Source organism: Homo sapiens, chromosome 2, assembly GCF_000001405.40.
Source record: "Homo sapiens chromosome 2, GRCh38.p14 Primary Assembly".
In the NCBI taxonomy this organism is placed as follows: domain Eukaryota; kingdom Metazoa; phylum Chordata; class Mammalia; order Primates; family Hominidae; genus Homo; species Homo sapiens.
The window spans coordinates 64,533,526-64,549,110 of record NC_000002.12 but is presented as its reverse complement, the minus strand read 5'-3'; the positions used below and the strand labels follow the sequence as shown (position 1 = coordinate 64,549,110).

The window sequence follows — 15,585 nt, the reverse complement described above, 5'->3', positions numbered from 1 at the left end:
AACCACATAGTTTAATTTAGAGGTGAGGAAAATGAAGCCAACTAGTGAGTAACTTTCCCAAAGTTCATTCAGACAGCTGCTTAGTGGAGAATGGCTTCAGAATTTTGAAAAGGATCTTTGAGGTTAACGACTGGTCAGTCACTCAGAGTTACCAGGAAGAAATGAGCAAGTCACAAGAAAAGGAAAAGGCTCCATTGTAATATATCTACTTCAAATTATCTTTCTTACGAAATTAGCACCATAAAGAAGGAAATAACTGCTTTGCTCTGCCATACTCTTCTTTCCTGCTGCTGATTTAAATAGAAAAAAAAAAGTACAAGATACACACAAATCCTATTTTGTTCCCTTGCCTAGTGTCCTGATAACCCCTTCTAATTAGTGTACGAGGTAATCTGACCTCTAACTATGTCCCTCTAATTATGAAGTTCCTATTATTTAAAATCACTTTGCGATTGTTAATGAGAATGTGGGGAAAGGAACCCTTGCACACATGCACATTGCTTGTGAGTGTAAATTGTTACAAGCCTTCCAGAAGGCAATATGGTTGTACTATGCAAACTCCTTTTAAGGAAATCTAAAACAAAATGCTGCAAAGGGATTATTTAGGCAAGTTATACTATATCCCTACAATAGCATATTATACAGCCATTAACTACAGGATTCCTTTTTCTAAAGTTTTTTTTTTTTTTTTTTTTTTTTTTTTCTTTTTTTGAGACGGAGTCTCGCTCTGTCGCCCAGGCCTGACTGCGGACTGCAGTGGCGCAATCTCGGCTCACTGCAAGCTCCGCTTCCCGGGTTCACGCCATTCTCCTGCCTCAGCCTCCCGAGTAGCTGGGACTACAGGCGCCCGCCACCGCGCCCGGCTAATTTTTTGTATTTTTAGTAGAGACGGGGTTTCACCTTGTTAGCCAGGATGGTCTCGATCTCCTGACCTCATGATCCACCCGCCTCGGCCTCCCAAAGTGCTGGGATTACAGGCGTGAGCCACCGCGCCCGGCCCTTTTTCTAAAGTTTAAAAGCAGCCGGGCGCAGTGGCTCACACCTGTAATCCCAGCACTTTGGGGGGCTGAGGAGGGTGAATTACTTGAGCCCAGGAGTTCGATCAAGACCAGCCTTGGGCAACATGATGTAACCCTGTCTTTACAAAAAAAACAAAATATTAGCCAGGCATGGTGGCATGCACCTGTAGTCCAGCTACTTGGGAGGCTAAGGTGGGAGGATTGCTTGGGTCCAGGAAGTCAAGGCTGCAGTGAGCTGTGATCACACCACTGTACTACTCCAGCCTGGGTGACAGAGTGAGACCCTGTCTCAAAAACATTAAATAAAAATAAAATTTAAAAGCATTAATAAAGATAGTGACATGTCAAAAGAATACAAAAGCTACCTTGAAAGGGCTGCTACTAACTAAATCAGGAACAATTTGAGCACTGAAATAAAGATAATAATGGATTATAACCCAATAAATAAAATAATAAACTGAGTCCTCACAGATATAAACATGTAAGTAAATAAACTGCAAGTTAGATGAGGAACTGGATATTTGCATAGTTTCAAAGTACTTCCCCACAATATACTTAATTACAAAGGGAAAAAGTATAAGTTTACAGTGTGAAGCCTGACACTACCTTAATCAGGTGATCAACATGAACATTATCAGTAATGGGAACACTGAAATCATGCACCACCTGATGAGATGCAATGAGAATACAGGATCACTTCTGGGATATCCTGTCAAAAATACAACACCTGACTTCAGGAGGAAATTTCAGGGAAATTCAAACTGAGAGACAGCCTACAAAATTACTGGCCTGTAATCTTCAAAAGTATCAAGCTCATGAAAGTCAAGGAAAGACTGAAAACCTGTTTCAGATTGAAGAAGAAGAATAAAGAGACATGAGAAGTAAACGCAGCACTTGGTCTCCTTCCTATAAAGGTTGCTACTGGGATGATTGTGAGTCATCTACTTTAACAGAGTCCAAAAGATTCACTATAGCAGCAATGTATCAAGGTTAATTTCTTGATTGTGATGGTAGTATGTATGTATGTATGTATGTATTTTTTTGAGACAGAGTCTAGCTCTGTCGCCCAGGCTGGAGTGCAGTGGCACGATCTCGGCTCACTGCAAGCTCCGCCTCCCGGGTTCACGCCATTCTCCTGCCTCAGCCTCCCAAGCAGCTGGGACTACAGGGGCCTGCCACCACGCCTGGCTAATTTTTTTTTTTTTTTGGATTTTTTTTTTTAGTAGAGACGGGGTTTCACTGTGTTAGCCAGGATGGTCTCGATCTCCTGACCTCGTGATCTGCCCGCCTTGGCCTCCCAAAGTGCTGGGATCACAGGCGTGAGCCACCATGCCCAGCCTTGTGATGGTAGTACTGTAGTCATGCATGAGAATGTCCTTGGTTGTAGGAGATACACACTAAACTATTTGGTAGTGATGGGGCATCAGGCTGGCAGTCTTAAATTGTCCCAGAAAAAAAATTTATTTGTATTGACATTGCAACTTTTTATGTTTGTGATTGTTTCAAAATGGAAAAAAAAAAGCATTCAAAGAGATTTATATGCCTACATTTAAATATGTGTATTTTAGAATAAATGTGTTACTTATACAATTCTAGCTAAGTAAACACTGTTAAAATCTGATATTGGAGTCCTTAATTAAATTCCTCACCCAATTTAGACTTTGGCATATATTAGACAATTTGAATAATCCTTTACTTGAAGCCTCAAATTTGACAGTATTAAACTGCTTTATGCCCCGTTTGCTAGAGACTGTTCCTTAGTTTTACATGCTCATAACACCTTTTAAAAAACTGTGGTAAAATAGACATAATATAAAATTTACCATGACAATGTTGGTACATTACTGTTAACATTATTGTTCGCAGACTTTGTTAAATTGTTACCATTAAAAAAAAAAGGGCTGGGTGCAGTGGCTCACGCCTGTAATCCCAGCGCTTTGGGAGGCCGAGGTGGGAGGATCACTTGAGGTCAGGAGTTTGAGACCAGCCTGGCCAACATGGTGAAACCCCATCTCTACTAAAAATACAAAAATTAGCCAGGCGTGGTGGCGGGTGCCTGTAATCCCAGCTACTTGGGAGGATGAAGCAGGAGAATTGCTTGAACCCGGGAGGCAGAGGTTGCAGTGAGACGAGATCGTGCCACTGCACTCCAGTCTGGGTGACAGAGTGAGACTCCATCCCATTAAAAAAACAAAACGAAACAAAACAAAAAAAAACTTGCGTTTGTGTTTGTGTATAGTTCTGCTCAATTTTATCCTCTATTCAGATTTGTGTAACTACCACCACTATCAAGACACAGAACTGCCCCCACTCCACCTCCATCCCTGTCCCCTTGCAACCACTAATCTGTTCTCCATCGCCACAATTTTGTCCTTTGAAAGGATATTATGTATGCAACCCTTTGAGGCTGAATTTTTTTCACTCAGTGTAATGTCCTCGAGGTCCATTCTGGTTGCTGCCTGTAACAATAGGTCAGGTCTTTTTTTTTTTTTTTTTTTTTTTTTTTTTTTTTTTTTTTTTTACTGCTGGTGGCATTCCATTGTACAGATATACCAGTTTGTTTAACTGTTCACCTGCTGAAGGACATTTTGGTTGTTTCCAGTATCTTACTATTATAAACTGCATATGTATAGTGTGTGTGTACATACATAAACACTAATAGTATAAACAGTATATACATAATAATAGTATATATAAATAGTATGTATAATAAGGATGCTAGGAACTTCCATATACAGGTTTTTGTGGGCATGTAAGTTTTCATTTATCTAGGATAAATGCTCAAGAGTGTGACTGCTGGGTATCATGGTAAGTACATGTTTAGTTATGTAAAAAACTGCCAAACTCTTTTCCAGAGTAGCTGTACCATTTTACATGCTCATAATACCTTACTTTCAAAGAACTATGTGTGATGGCTTTTTTTTCCTAGCCTAATCTGTGATTAACCTATTGCTTTTTTCCAAAACTTTTACTCTTTAAAAATGAAATAATTTATTGGTTCACAACCTATTCCAAACTCAGACATTAATGCAAATACAAAGATCTGAATCAGAAACTCTGTAACCAAAGCAACAACTCCGCAAGTTTTTCTTCCTGTCATACCTTTGCAAGGTACTCTATTTTCCATTATAGGTGAGACAGGCTTTATTGGCCTTCTAGAGTAAAAACATTTTCATATTTCTCAAAAAGGGGTCACCAATTGATGGCGAGAACTTGCGCTGCTGCATGATCCCCTGCAGCAGGTATTGGCTCTGACCCAACTTACCCTTTAGAAACCTAAGAGAGTGCCACTGCTTCTAAGTGTCCTTGAACCAATCAGTGTAGGGGAGACTCAAAACTTTCCAGAAAATTCCTGTGTCTAGGCCAACTCTACTTAAAAGAAGTTTCATGTTAATTGAAGTATTACTTGTATAATGAATTTACAAATAAAGTTTCATTTCTATAATCCACTTTAACACATAAAATATGGGCTTTAAATAGCTGTTCCTGCTCAACAGGGGAAAAAAAGGATAGATAAGCTACTTTAGTACTGTGTCTGGCACACAACAAACAGAACAAATGTTTCTTCATCCTTCGTAATGGACTACTTTCTCCATCCACACCACAAGGAGTCCCAAATAGTCATCTAATTTCTTTATAACCTGTACAAACAAGCAAGCATGTGTGTGTGTGCATGCATGTGTGTAACTTGCCATTTTTATGTCTACTTATTCTAAGACCTGTTAGAGGGGAGCAAATAAATAATGCCGCTATTGTCTTGCAAGCCACTGTATACAAAAACAGTTGACAGGAGGGTCTCATAATTGGGTAGCAAACAGGATATCCTAGTAGTCAGAGCATAGAGATAGAGAATTTGGGTGGGCTTCCTGTACTTTGGAGATTTATCTATGAGAAATCACATCCTTATCAGGAGATTAGGGGACAATATAGGTGAATAAAAATAATTAATAGAAGTGCAAACTGAAGCCGACTTTCAGGGCTACGAACCAGGAAAATCAGAGGGTTTTGGGTTTGGGAATTCTGGCATAGAAGGTCCAATATAAAGGGGTCAGGGAAACAGTTTAGAAGCCCAATAGCAGTCAGCAATGGAACCTAAGCCCCAAGCCAGATTAGTAGCCAGGATGGCAGGGCATACAACAGGTGAAGGTGATTCTGTATTAATCTTCCACCAAAAGAGAAGCTGCACTTGCTTATGGAATTCTAACCTCTAGTCTGAAATGGTCATGGAAAAGAAGAGATGATGAGTCTGTAAGTTGTAAGCTCTGGGGTCAAAAGGCAAGATGGGCTTGAGAAGGCAGAAGGAAGGAATGGGGCCAACAACTGTCTGAGACTATTTGGCCATTTAAAAATAGTTTCTCAAGAAAAACAAAGTTGGAGGACTTAAACTACCTGATATCAAGACTTGCTTTAAAGTCACATGGTCTTGTGATAAAGATGCCACTGCAGTGTGGTGGGGAAAGGATAGACTCTTCAACAAATGATGCTGGATTAACTGGATAACCACACAGGCAGGAAAAAAAATATCTGATTCTAACATCTTATACAGAAATAAGCTCCAGATAGTTCATGGGCCTACATGTGAAAGGTGAAGCAATCAGCCTTCCAGAAGATAACAGAAGAGATTATTTGTATGACCTTAGGAAAGGCATAAATGTTTTAAACAAGAAACAGAAACACTGATTACAGAAAAGATTGATATATTGGACTGCATTAAAATTTAAAACTTCTCTTCATCAAAAGAATACCATAGAGTGAAAAACCAAGAAAGCCATTGCCTGGGAGAAGATATGTGCAAAACATGTAACTGTCAAAGAACTCATATCCAGAATATGGAAAGAATTCCTACAAGTCAATGTGGAACAATCCAACAGAAAAATGGCCAAAATATTTGAACAGGTATTTCACAAGACAGGATATCCAAATAGCCAACAGCATATAAAAAGTCATCAGGGAAAAATGTACATTAAAACAACAATAAAATACCACTATACATCTACCAGAATGACTAAAATTAAAATTATTCTCTCCACAGCCACTTTTGGTAAGGATGTGGAGAAACTGTGATTCCCACACTTTACTGGTGGAAGTATAAACTGGTACAGATATTCGGAAAACTGTTTGATAATATGTACTAAAACTATACCAGACCTTCAGTACCTGGCACATTCTGTGCACTAAGTAAATGATCAACTACCATTATATTTTAACTTTCACCAACTCTGTGGCTAAAATAATAACCTATCTGTAACAAAACCTAAGTCAATGTTTGCTTAGTTGGCACAAACATTCATATGACTCTATATTTTAAAAGGTCACTGAAAGAATAAGTCACTTAAGAAAAATATGCATAACCACACTAAAGATACATGAAGTTGACTTTATTGCCAGTTTTTCTAACCAATCCCTAGAAAATATAAAACTTGACTTATATAACTATATAATTTCATAGGCTTGGGGGCATGGGGGCGGGGGGATGCTGATAACAAACTAAATCTGAAGCCCAAGGTTGAAGGACTGAGATCATAACCTCTAAACAAGCTCAAGGGTCCAGTGACCAGTCTGTTAAAAGATGGAAGTTTTGAAGTGAAATAGAAAAATGCAACCCGGAAGTTCTCACTGGTATCTTGAAGTAAACTGCCTGTAGCTCCTATTTGGTTAGATGAACAACCACAAGAATTTAGAAGGTGCTTGGTTGGGATGGAAAAGATTCATCACATGTGGGAAATATATAGGGTATTCCCTACGTATTCCTCTAAGGAATAGTTAATCCCTGGTACCCTCCTACCCCCAACATCCACACACAGTATCATGCACCCTAAAGGTCCATGGGCTCACATTTGAGGGGGGTGGAGTGTCTCTAAGTAAGAGGCCCTCTAGCAATCTTTCCAGAATCAAACATCGAGAGTTCTTTCCAGACAAGTTAAAAACATACAGCACACACTGCTCAACTGGGAGAAACTCCCATCCTTTACAGGGTACCAGCCCAGCTGTATCAATGTGTACATCATCTTTCAAGGACAGATAAACTGACCTAGATTATACAACCCAGCTTCACTCTAAACTTATTTTTATAGGGACCAGGATGGAGGGTGAAGGAAAAGATATTGTAGAAAGAAGGATGGTGATAAAAGGGAGAAGAAAAACAACTGTATCTGAAATATGCTAATGACTTCAATAGTATCAATGACATTAGCAAAGTATATTTAATGGATGACAAAAAATAATCACCATCTTTTTACCACAATATGTCTGAGGTTTATAATTAGTCACTTGGGTGAGTGAAGGAAAAAACAAAAAAGAAAAACCGTATTTTCTTTAGAAAAATGAATGAAAATGTCACGTAAGCATTAACAACATCAATTTACATTACAAGTGTTGCCTGGTGTACAGTAGTTCAAATTCTTCCAAATCTTTATAATATCCTTATGGAAATTTTAAGGTCATATCAAAATGTACTGTCAATGAATTTGCCCAGCCTACATTTCTGCTTGAGTCATAAAGAAGTAGAAAAGAGCCCTTCTTCTGAACCACATGAAGATTTGGGTTTTAGTTAACTTTTTGGTTTTCAATATATTTAGAGTGCTATGATATCACAGTTGTTTTCACAGCTCTAAATTTTAAAATCTACAGAAATAATTGTTTTTTCTTTTTGGGTGTTTTTTCTTTTGTTCTTAGCATATTAGCACAACAGAAATTAATACAGGCAGAGCCTCTAATTAACTTGCCAGCCTAAAAACAAAAACCCAAGATATCAGACACCAACTGTATGTCACTGAGTCACCAACTGCATAATATGTTATTTAAGATGACATTTGTTAAATAAATAGTATCTTCCACGTGTTTTCACTCCATGTTTACACCAATGTCATTATTAATACTTATTGAGTGCTTACTATGGGCCAATATTATGTGAAGAGAACTCGTGAGTTATCTCAATTATCTCCTCATACTATCATATGAGGTGGAAATGCTTCATTTTAAAGATGAAGAAATAAAAGCTCAAAGAGGTTAAGTAATCCTACAAGGTAGCATAACTAGTAAGTGGTGAATTAATCACAAGTTAATCAAACATTTTATAAGTGTCTTAAAATATTAGACGTGATTGACGGCAAATATTACAATTATAAAAATTCTTACAAAAAGGCTTCTGAGTGGTTCAGAAAAAGGTTTCTGAAACCTCCAAGTAACTTGGAAGGGGAAAGATTTTTACAAGACAAGAAAGTACAGTATAACCAACAAAAATGCCAAGCAGCAAATATCTTGTTTCAGTATTAGTGTATATAGTACAAAATATGAGCAAACAATGAAAATGAGCAGCAAAATACCTTTATACTGAAGTTGATCACCCTAAAAAAGCCACACTGTCAATAGTGACAACAAAAAATTTTGTCTTTCTAGTTTTGATGTCAATACAATTGACACATAAAAGTAAAAATATATATATAATGTCAGTTACATGAGCTGCAACACACGTTCACTTTTCAAGTGCTACTTACCTTGTTAAACAGCAATGAGTTATTTGAGAGAAGTTGGTTTTCAAAAATTCCCATGAAAAATTTTTTCTTCTACCGAACATTTTAACCTTCTACACAAATTCATAATAACATATTTTATTTGCATTTGGATAGTTTCATGTAATAATTAAACAAGATAAAAATATTAGAGATTGTTGTACCTTTAACTCATCATATCAGCTGACCATATTTGAGAGTTTACTAGCTATTTTTCCCAAAAGGTACTTCAACATAAAATTGAATACATAACATTGGATAACTATTGATAACAAGGGCAACAAAATGGAAGCATCCACGAGGATGGATGGATTAGCCCTTGGAAAACATTTTTTTTGCCCTAGAACTCTCAGCTTCTATTATATAGATGCAGAATAAATTAGTCACTCTAATTCTCTACTCTCATATCCCTGAAACTCTGCAATGAAAATAGAATCTGAAAGGCAGAAACTGCTTTGATTTCATGTCCCTTCACTAAAATCTTGCTTACATCCACAATCTTGTCTACAGATAATCCCTGGACCTTCTGTTTTTCTTCTCAACTGCTTGCTCAGGGGCTTTTAAAAATTTTCCATCACTATTGATCCTTTCCTATAAACGTTCAGCCTCTTCCATACTCAAAACAAATCAGAACAAAACAAAACAAAACAGAATCCTCTCTTCTGTGCGCCCTAGCTCTTCTCCTCCTCACCACCAAGCTTCTTGAAAGAGATGTGCCTATTCACTCTCTCGACTTCCTAACTTCCCACTCACTCCTCAACTCAACACAATCTGGCTTCCATGCTACCGCTCTACCGAAACTGCTCTTTCAAGAGTTACTTTATTTGAGCTCAAATGACTGTAAATGTTGTGTAGGCATAGACCTCTGTTGTTTACCATTGCATCCTCAGAGCCTGGCTCACAGCAGGAACTAAATATATTATCATCATTCTTGCTGGGGCATTTATTCTACTAACCACTCTTGAATTGTGCTCCAACTCACGCACACTCCAATTAGATTTCTATAACCACACCTCTGGTCTCTTAGTGCTTCACCAAATAAGTTATGAAATATCCAAATGTAATCAAGGTAAATAAGTGGGATTTGAAATGTGGCCTGAAATGTGATGAATGTGGGACAAACAACCCAATCATTTGTGCTGCAACATGTCTAAAGAGAAAGTATGTTAAGAGGGGCAGTACATTATATGCAAGCTGCAAAAAACCCTAGCTAAATGACAAAAATTTGTAGTGAGTTTTTAGACCTGCTATCATGAATATTTGCTTTGATTTGAGACAATTCCTCAGCATAAGCAGAGGTGTCAGTGAGTGTCGCCAGAGCATAATGCTACACTCTGGATAGTCCAACTAATTTCTTTTTCTTGTTCTCTGCTCCCCAGGACTTTAATACTTCATGAAAATTTTCCCACAGAAGATTTTGCAATCAGCTGACATGAACAGCAGACATGCTTTAAAGTAAGTTTCTTGCTGTAAAGTTTTAAATTAGCATTTTGGTCAAGACTAAGTTAAACCTCAAGTGACTAGTGTATACTGAGAAAAAAAATCCCCAGAAAAACAAAGTAACAAACTACTGTGTGGACTTTCAAAATGAAAAAATACCACTCTAGTCTGTAACCTAAAAACGTAACTGTGGCAGCTGCCATTCCTCTGACAGTGCTGCTTTCTACATCACAAACACCCACCATGAGAGCAACTCACCTCTTACAGAAAGAAGCATTTACTAAAGGTTATAAAACTGCAACCAAGTGCAGTTAGAGTTCAATTATCTGAGCCACTAAGAAAGTAAGCAACGATGTCCTACATAATCTACAACTCACAAATTTGGCCTTAAAATATGACCTAAGTAACAGCAGATTTACCTCACAAATTAAGTCTTTGCCAGGTGCTATTAATTTTACTTTAATTTGTTTTCTTACCACCCATCAATTAAGAGAAAAAGATGACCTGGAGGCAATGAAGTGACAGAAGGAAACAAAACAATTAACCAAACTTAAAGACAGTCATAAATGATCCACAGATAATAGCACACATGATATTTTTCAGGGAATTATTATAAAACAAACTTCATATATCTGAAAAATCAAATATAAACACATTCCAAAATAGTGCTCAAGAGTGTATGCGTGTGGAGTGTACACAGGTAATGCCACAAATGGGTCTACCGATACTAATAACTGCACAAAAACTATGGAAGGAATTCCATGGAGAACAAATTCCTAGCTGGTTGACCTTTTTTAATGATGGTTTTGCTTGGTTTAAAGTTTTACTTTTTCCTGAGAGGTAGAAAGGCTAAAGGATAAAAGAAAAAAATATATAACATTTATTTGCAGGGTACCCAATACATCTGGTTAGAAACAACTTGAGAATTGGCCCGTCATATAAAGCAGAATTTTTCACACATTTTTCCCCTATGACTCACAGAAGAAATACATTTTACATGATGACCCAACATACATTTTAAAAAAAAAAGTTTCGCCAAACAGTATTTACCCTTACTCTCTATGTACTCTGATTTTTAGTTCTATTTCATTTTTTCTTAAAAGCTGGTCATGACCCTCTTAAATTGATTTTACAAACCAGAAATAGGTTTTAATATAAAGTATAAAAAAGTATTCTTTCCATCTCATCCAATTCCTCCAAATCCAATTACTGCTTCTAGCATACAAGAGGAGGGAACAGGGCTTCTTTTAAAACAAAGACTTCCTCCCTGATCTGGTGCTTACAAAGACAAAATGCATTCTTAAATTACATTATTTCAACGAACCAAGTATTTGATAAAATGAAAGTGTTCTTTTTCTCTTTACAGAATTGTGTATAAAAGTAATAAACGAAAATTACTATTTATTTTTCAAATTCATACTACCTTCAATCTAGGAAGCATGCTACTTTAAGGATAACATTTTAAAAAACATACAAACATAACATAAAACTGGAACACTTTGGCAAATTTTAACAATTTTCACTTTCAGAAAGCATTTAGCAATTGTTTAAGTTTGCAAACATTAACTTTTCTGGTCCAGTATCTACAATGTAAAAGTTCTCTAAAAGATACTATTGGTAGGAGTATATATTGGCTCACACACCCTATTGCAGTTTAGTAGCATACGAAACATTTTAATGAATTCTTTTTAAAATTTTTAATTTTTTAAACTTTTATTTTAGGTTCAGGGGTACATGTGCAGGTTTGTTACATAGGTAAATTGAGTGTCACGGGGGTTTGGTGTCCAAATTATTTCATCACCCAGGTAATAAGCATAGTACCCGACAGGTGGTTTTTCCATCCTCACCCTCTTCCCTCCTTCCACCTTCAAGTAGGCTCTGGTGTCTGTTGTTTCCATTCTTTTGACTAAGCAATTTCATCTGCAAGGATGTATTCTACAGAGGCATTCATGCAAATATACAAAGATATTTCCACAAAGTATTGATTCCAGTATTGTTTGTTCAATTTTTTAAAAAGCAGCTGAAAACAGTCTATTAATAAGGAAGTGTGTAAATAAAAAGTGCAGCCATTAAAAAAGAGAAAGCTATATTACTAATAGGGCAAAGTGTCTAAAATACATTTTTAAGTGAAAAAGCATTTCTGAAAAGCATTCTTCTTCTTCTTCTTTTTTTTTTTTTTTTTTTTTTTTGAGACAGAGTCTCCTTCTTTTCCCAGGCTGCAGTACAGTGGTGCAATCATGGCTCACTGCTGCCTCTGCCTCCTGGGTTCAAGCAATCCTCCCACTTCAGCCACCCAAATAACTGGGACTACAGGTGTACACCACCATGCCCAGCTAATTTTTAAATTTTTTGTAGAGACAGTGTTTCGCCATGTTGCCCAGGCTGGTCTCAACCTCCTGAGCTCAAGCAATTGACTTACCTTGGGCTCCCAAAGTGCTGGGATTACAGGTTTGAGTCACCACGCCCTGCTGGCAATTCTCTTTTGATTCTCCTACTTATATTCTATCCCTTATCCTTCAATGAATCTGATTGCCCTGGCTTCTCTATATTCTTTTTTTTTTTTTTTTTTTTTTTAAGATGGAGTCTCGCTCTGCTCTGTCGCCCAGGCTGGAGTGCAGTGGCGCGATCACTACAACCTCCACCTCCCAGGTTCAGGCGATTCTCCCACCTCAACCTCCTGAGCAATAGCTGGGATTACAGGCCTGTGCTACCATGCCCATCTAATTTTTTATTTTTATTAGAGATGCGGTTTCACCATGTTGGCCAGGCTGGTCTCAAACTTCTTGACCTCAGGTGATCTACCCACTTTGGCCTCCCGAAGGGCTGGGATTACAGGCGTGAGCCACCATGCTCAGCCGCTTCCCTATATTCTTATCACTGAGAAATCTCATCCCCCTTTTGTTTTTATCTGTTCATAATGCTCAAACCTTACCTATATGTCTGACCTCCTGATCTGCCTACCCAAATGCCTTTTTAAAATCTCTCTACCTGGATGTCTCAGATGTATCTCCTATTCTCCAATTCCACGACTGAATTCAACCTCTACTCAAAAGGTGAACAGAAACCACTTGTTCCTACACTATATTCTAAATTCTAAGTCTAGAAATCTGAGTGTTACCCCAACCGCTCCCCCTCTACCACAAATTAAATCAATCAAGTTTCTCCCTCCTTAATATCTCTTACTGTATTTGTTTTAACATCCCACAACCTATACCTTGTCAGGGCCTCATTATTTTTGGCCAGGATTACTGCAGTCTACTTAAAACTCCTTATCTTAGCCAACATGGCTAAGATACTCCCTCTTTGTTCCAGCCAGACAAAATTACCTCTGGATTCTCCACTGGCATGGTTACCTCTAAGTTGTCACACGTCATTTCTTCTAATGTATTGTTCTTATATGTCCAAAGAACCCACTGACTAAGCCTTCAAAATTCTATTCAGGCATGAAGTTTTCTATCAAGGCTGGAGAACTGAGATCACCTATATTTACTAAGTTACTATGTGATAGGTACTGTGCAAGGTACTTATTCATACACCAGTTTATTCATACATTCAGTTTAATCACAAAAACCCATTTTACAGAGGAAGAAACAAGTCACATAATCTGTTCACGGTCCCACAAAGAATAAGTAAGGAAAGTGGGACTCAAAGCCAGTGTTCTTTTCGTTGTATCAGGTTTCTTGTCTGAATTAATCCTCCTTTATATCTATTTCCTATTACATTTAACAAAGCAAATCACATTTGTTTCCATGTTTTTTTCCCCTAATAGGTTCTCAACCTTAGCTTTCTATTAACTTTTTTCTCTAATAGAATGGGTAGACCCAAACATCTTTTTTAAAAGTTTCGAAGATGATACTAAATGGGTTAGTTAAGGTTGAAAACCTTTGTGTTAAGTTCCCAGAGTACAGGAATGCCAATGGACTTTATAACTCCAGGGATGACATAAATGTTTCTAAACTGAACTGCTAAACTCATTGATATAGGTAAATCACTGCAATAGTACTTTTTCCTACAAAAATGTTTTCTCTTATGATTTGGTTGTATAAATATTTTAAAGTTGTGTTGTACACATTTATCTGAGACTAGCACTAAGAAACTTAACATTCTTAAGATTTCAAAAACAAGGAGTTTACAATATTAAATCGTCAATACTCTTCTTAAAAATGAAACTTGAAAAATTTACTTAAAAGGATCAAAGTTAAAGCACTGTGACAATTTTTGAAACAACACATAAGTATTTGAGACAGCTCTAGATTTGGGAAATTCCATTTTGGAAATATTACTACTTTCTACTTAACCAGAAAGTTTATGAAATCATTTGTTTATTCCTTTTTGAAGCTTCACTTATAATTAGTATATAATTTAAATGTTATGGAATTCTCAGAAAAAAAAAAAAAACAAGCTTAAAGAATTAAACACAGTTTCACTTGCAGATGAACATAAAGAAATGCTTATGTGAACAGCAACACCAACAACAAAAAACTTCCCTACTTCCAGAAACCAGGGTCACTGCTAATCTGATTAAAATCTGAACTTTTTAGTTACGTGTAACACTTGCCCTGTGCTTTGTGTAAACTTATGAAACCTAATGAGACAGAAAACTATCATCCGCTGGCACAGAATCTGAAATATGGAAAAGAAGAGGAAGTGGTAACTTGGTAACTTAACTATAAGTAAGAAGTGATGAATACTCAAATATTCTGTTTGGGCTTCAGGCGAGAGAAAATATGAATTTTTGATATCTGAAACTCTTAGTAATTTTTTTTTGAATGAAGATATTATCAAAAAATAGTAAAAAGTATAAAAAGAGTTCAGTGTAAAAAGAGTTAAATTATCTCTTAATAAGTTCATTGCTTTTTATAAATAGCCACTAAAAACAAAAGCCTTAAGAAAATAAATCAATGCTTCAGATTTTGAGTGTCACTGTAGCAGAAGTATTTTAGCTGCAAATACTCCAGGTCAACATTTTTGCATCCACATAATAAACAAGATGAGAGATGATAAACCACAGCAAAACTGAAAATACTACAAAACTTAAGCAATCACCAAGAAGAAAACACCAAAAACCTCACTTGGGAGGGTGGCTAAGGCAGAAACACTATTCATTTCAACCATTTAAAAAACTGTGGCCTCACTAAAATGTAAGAAAATATTAAAAATCCTACTCCTAGGAGTTTTGCTTTGAAAAGTATCACATGTCACTTAGAATGATTTAAAGAATAACAAGTGGTAAATAATTCATTAATCACTTAGGAAGGATCACTTTTATTACCTAAATACAGAATTGTTAATTTTATATAACATAAAAATTGAATCTGTTAGCAATATAGAATTTTCATATTTATTAAGTTTATTGTTAGGTATTTTACCTTTTTCTGCTCATGTAAATGGTAGTCTTCACTTCCACCCTAACTGGCAAGCATTATTTACATAAACAAAAGCTCTTGGTGGTTATATAGTATACCATCACATCACTAGCAAATCGGGGTAGACTTACCTTTTCCTTTCCAAGTCTCATAACAATGGTGATAGGCAGGAATCTAATATTCACTCTTAATTAAGATATTGATTTCTGAGTTGAGGTGTATGTTTTTATTGTCTTACAGAATTATTCA

At 36.6% G+C, this 15,585-nt stretch overlaps 1 protein-coding gene and 1 long non-coding RNA gene across 18 annotated transcripts in view; one reads left to right on the top strand and one right to left on the bottom strand.

Annotated features, from left to right (window-relative positions):
- Nucleotides 1–10,370, top strand: part of LOC105374773 (uncharacterized) — a 68,499-nt gene extending 58,129 nt beyond the window's left edge. For all 5 annotated transcript variants that reach the window (XR_007086343.1, XR_007086342.1, XR_007086340.1 and 2 more), the window contains one exon: nt 9,910–10,370. This is a non-coding gene — a long non-coding RNA (uncharacterized LOC105374773). The remainder of the gene's footprint in view (nt 1–9,909) is intronic.
- Nucleotides 1–15,585, bottom strand: part of AFTPH (aftiphilin) — a 68,678-nt gene that overhangs the window by 43,895 nt on the left and 9,198 nt on the right. The window lies entirely within an intron of this gene.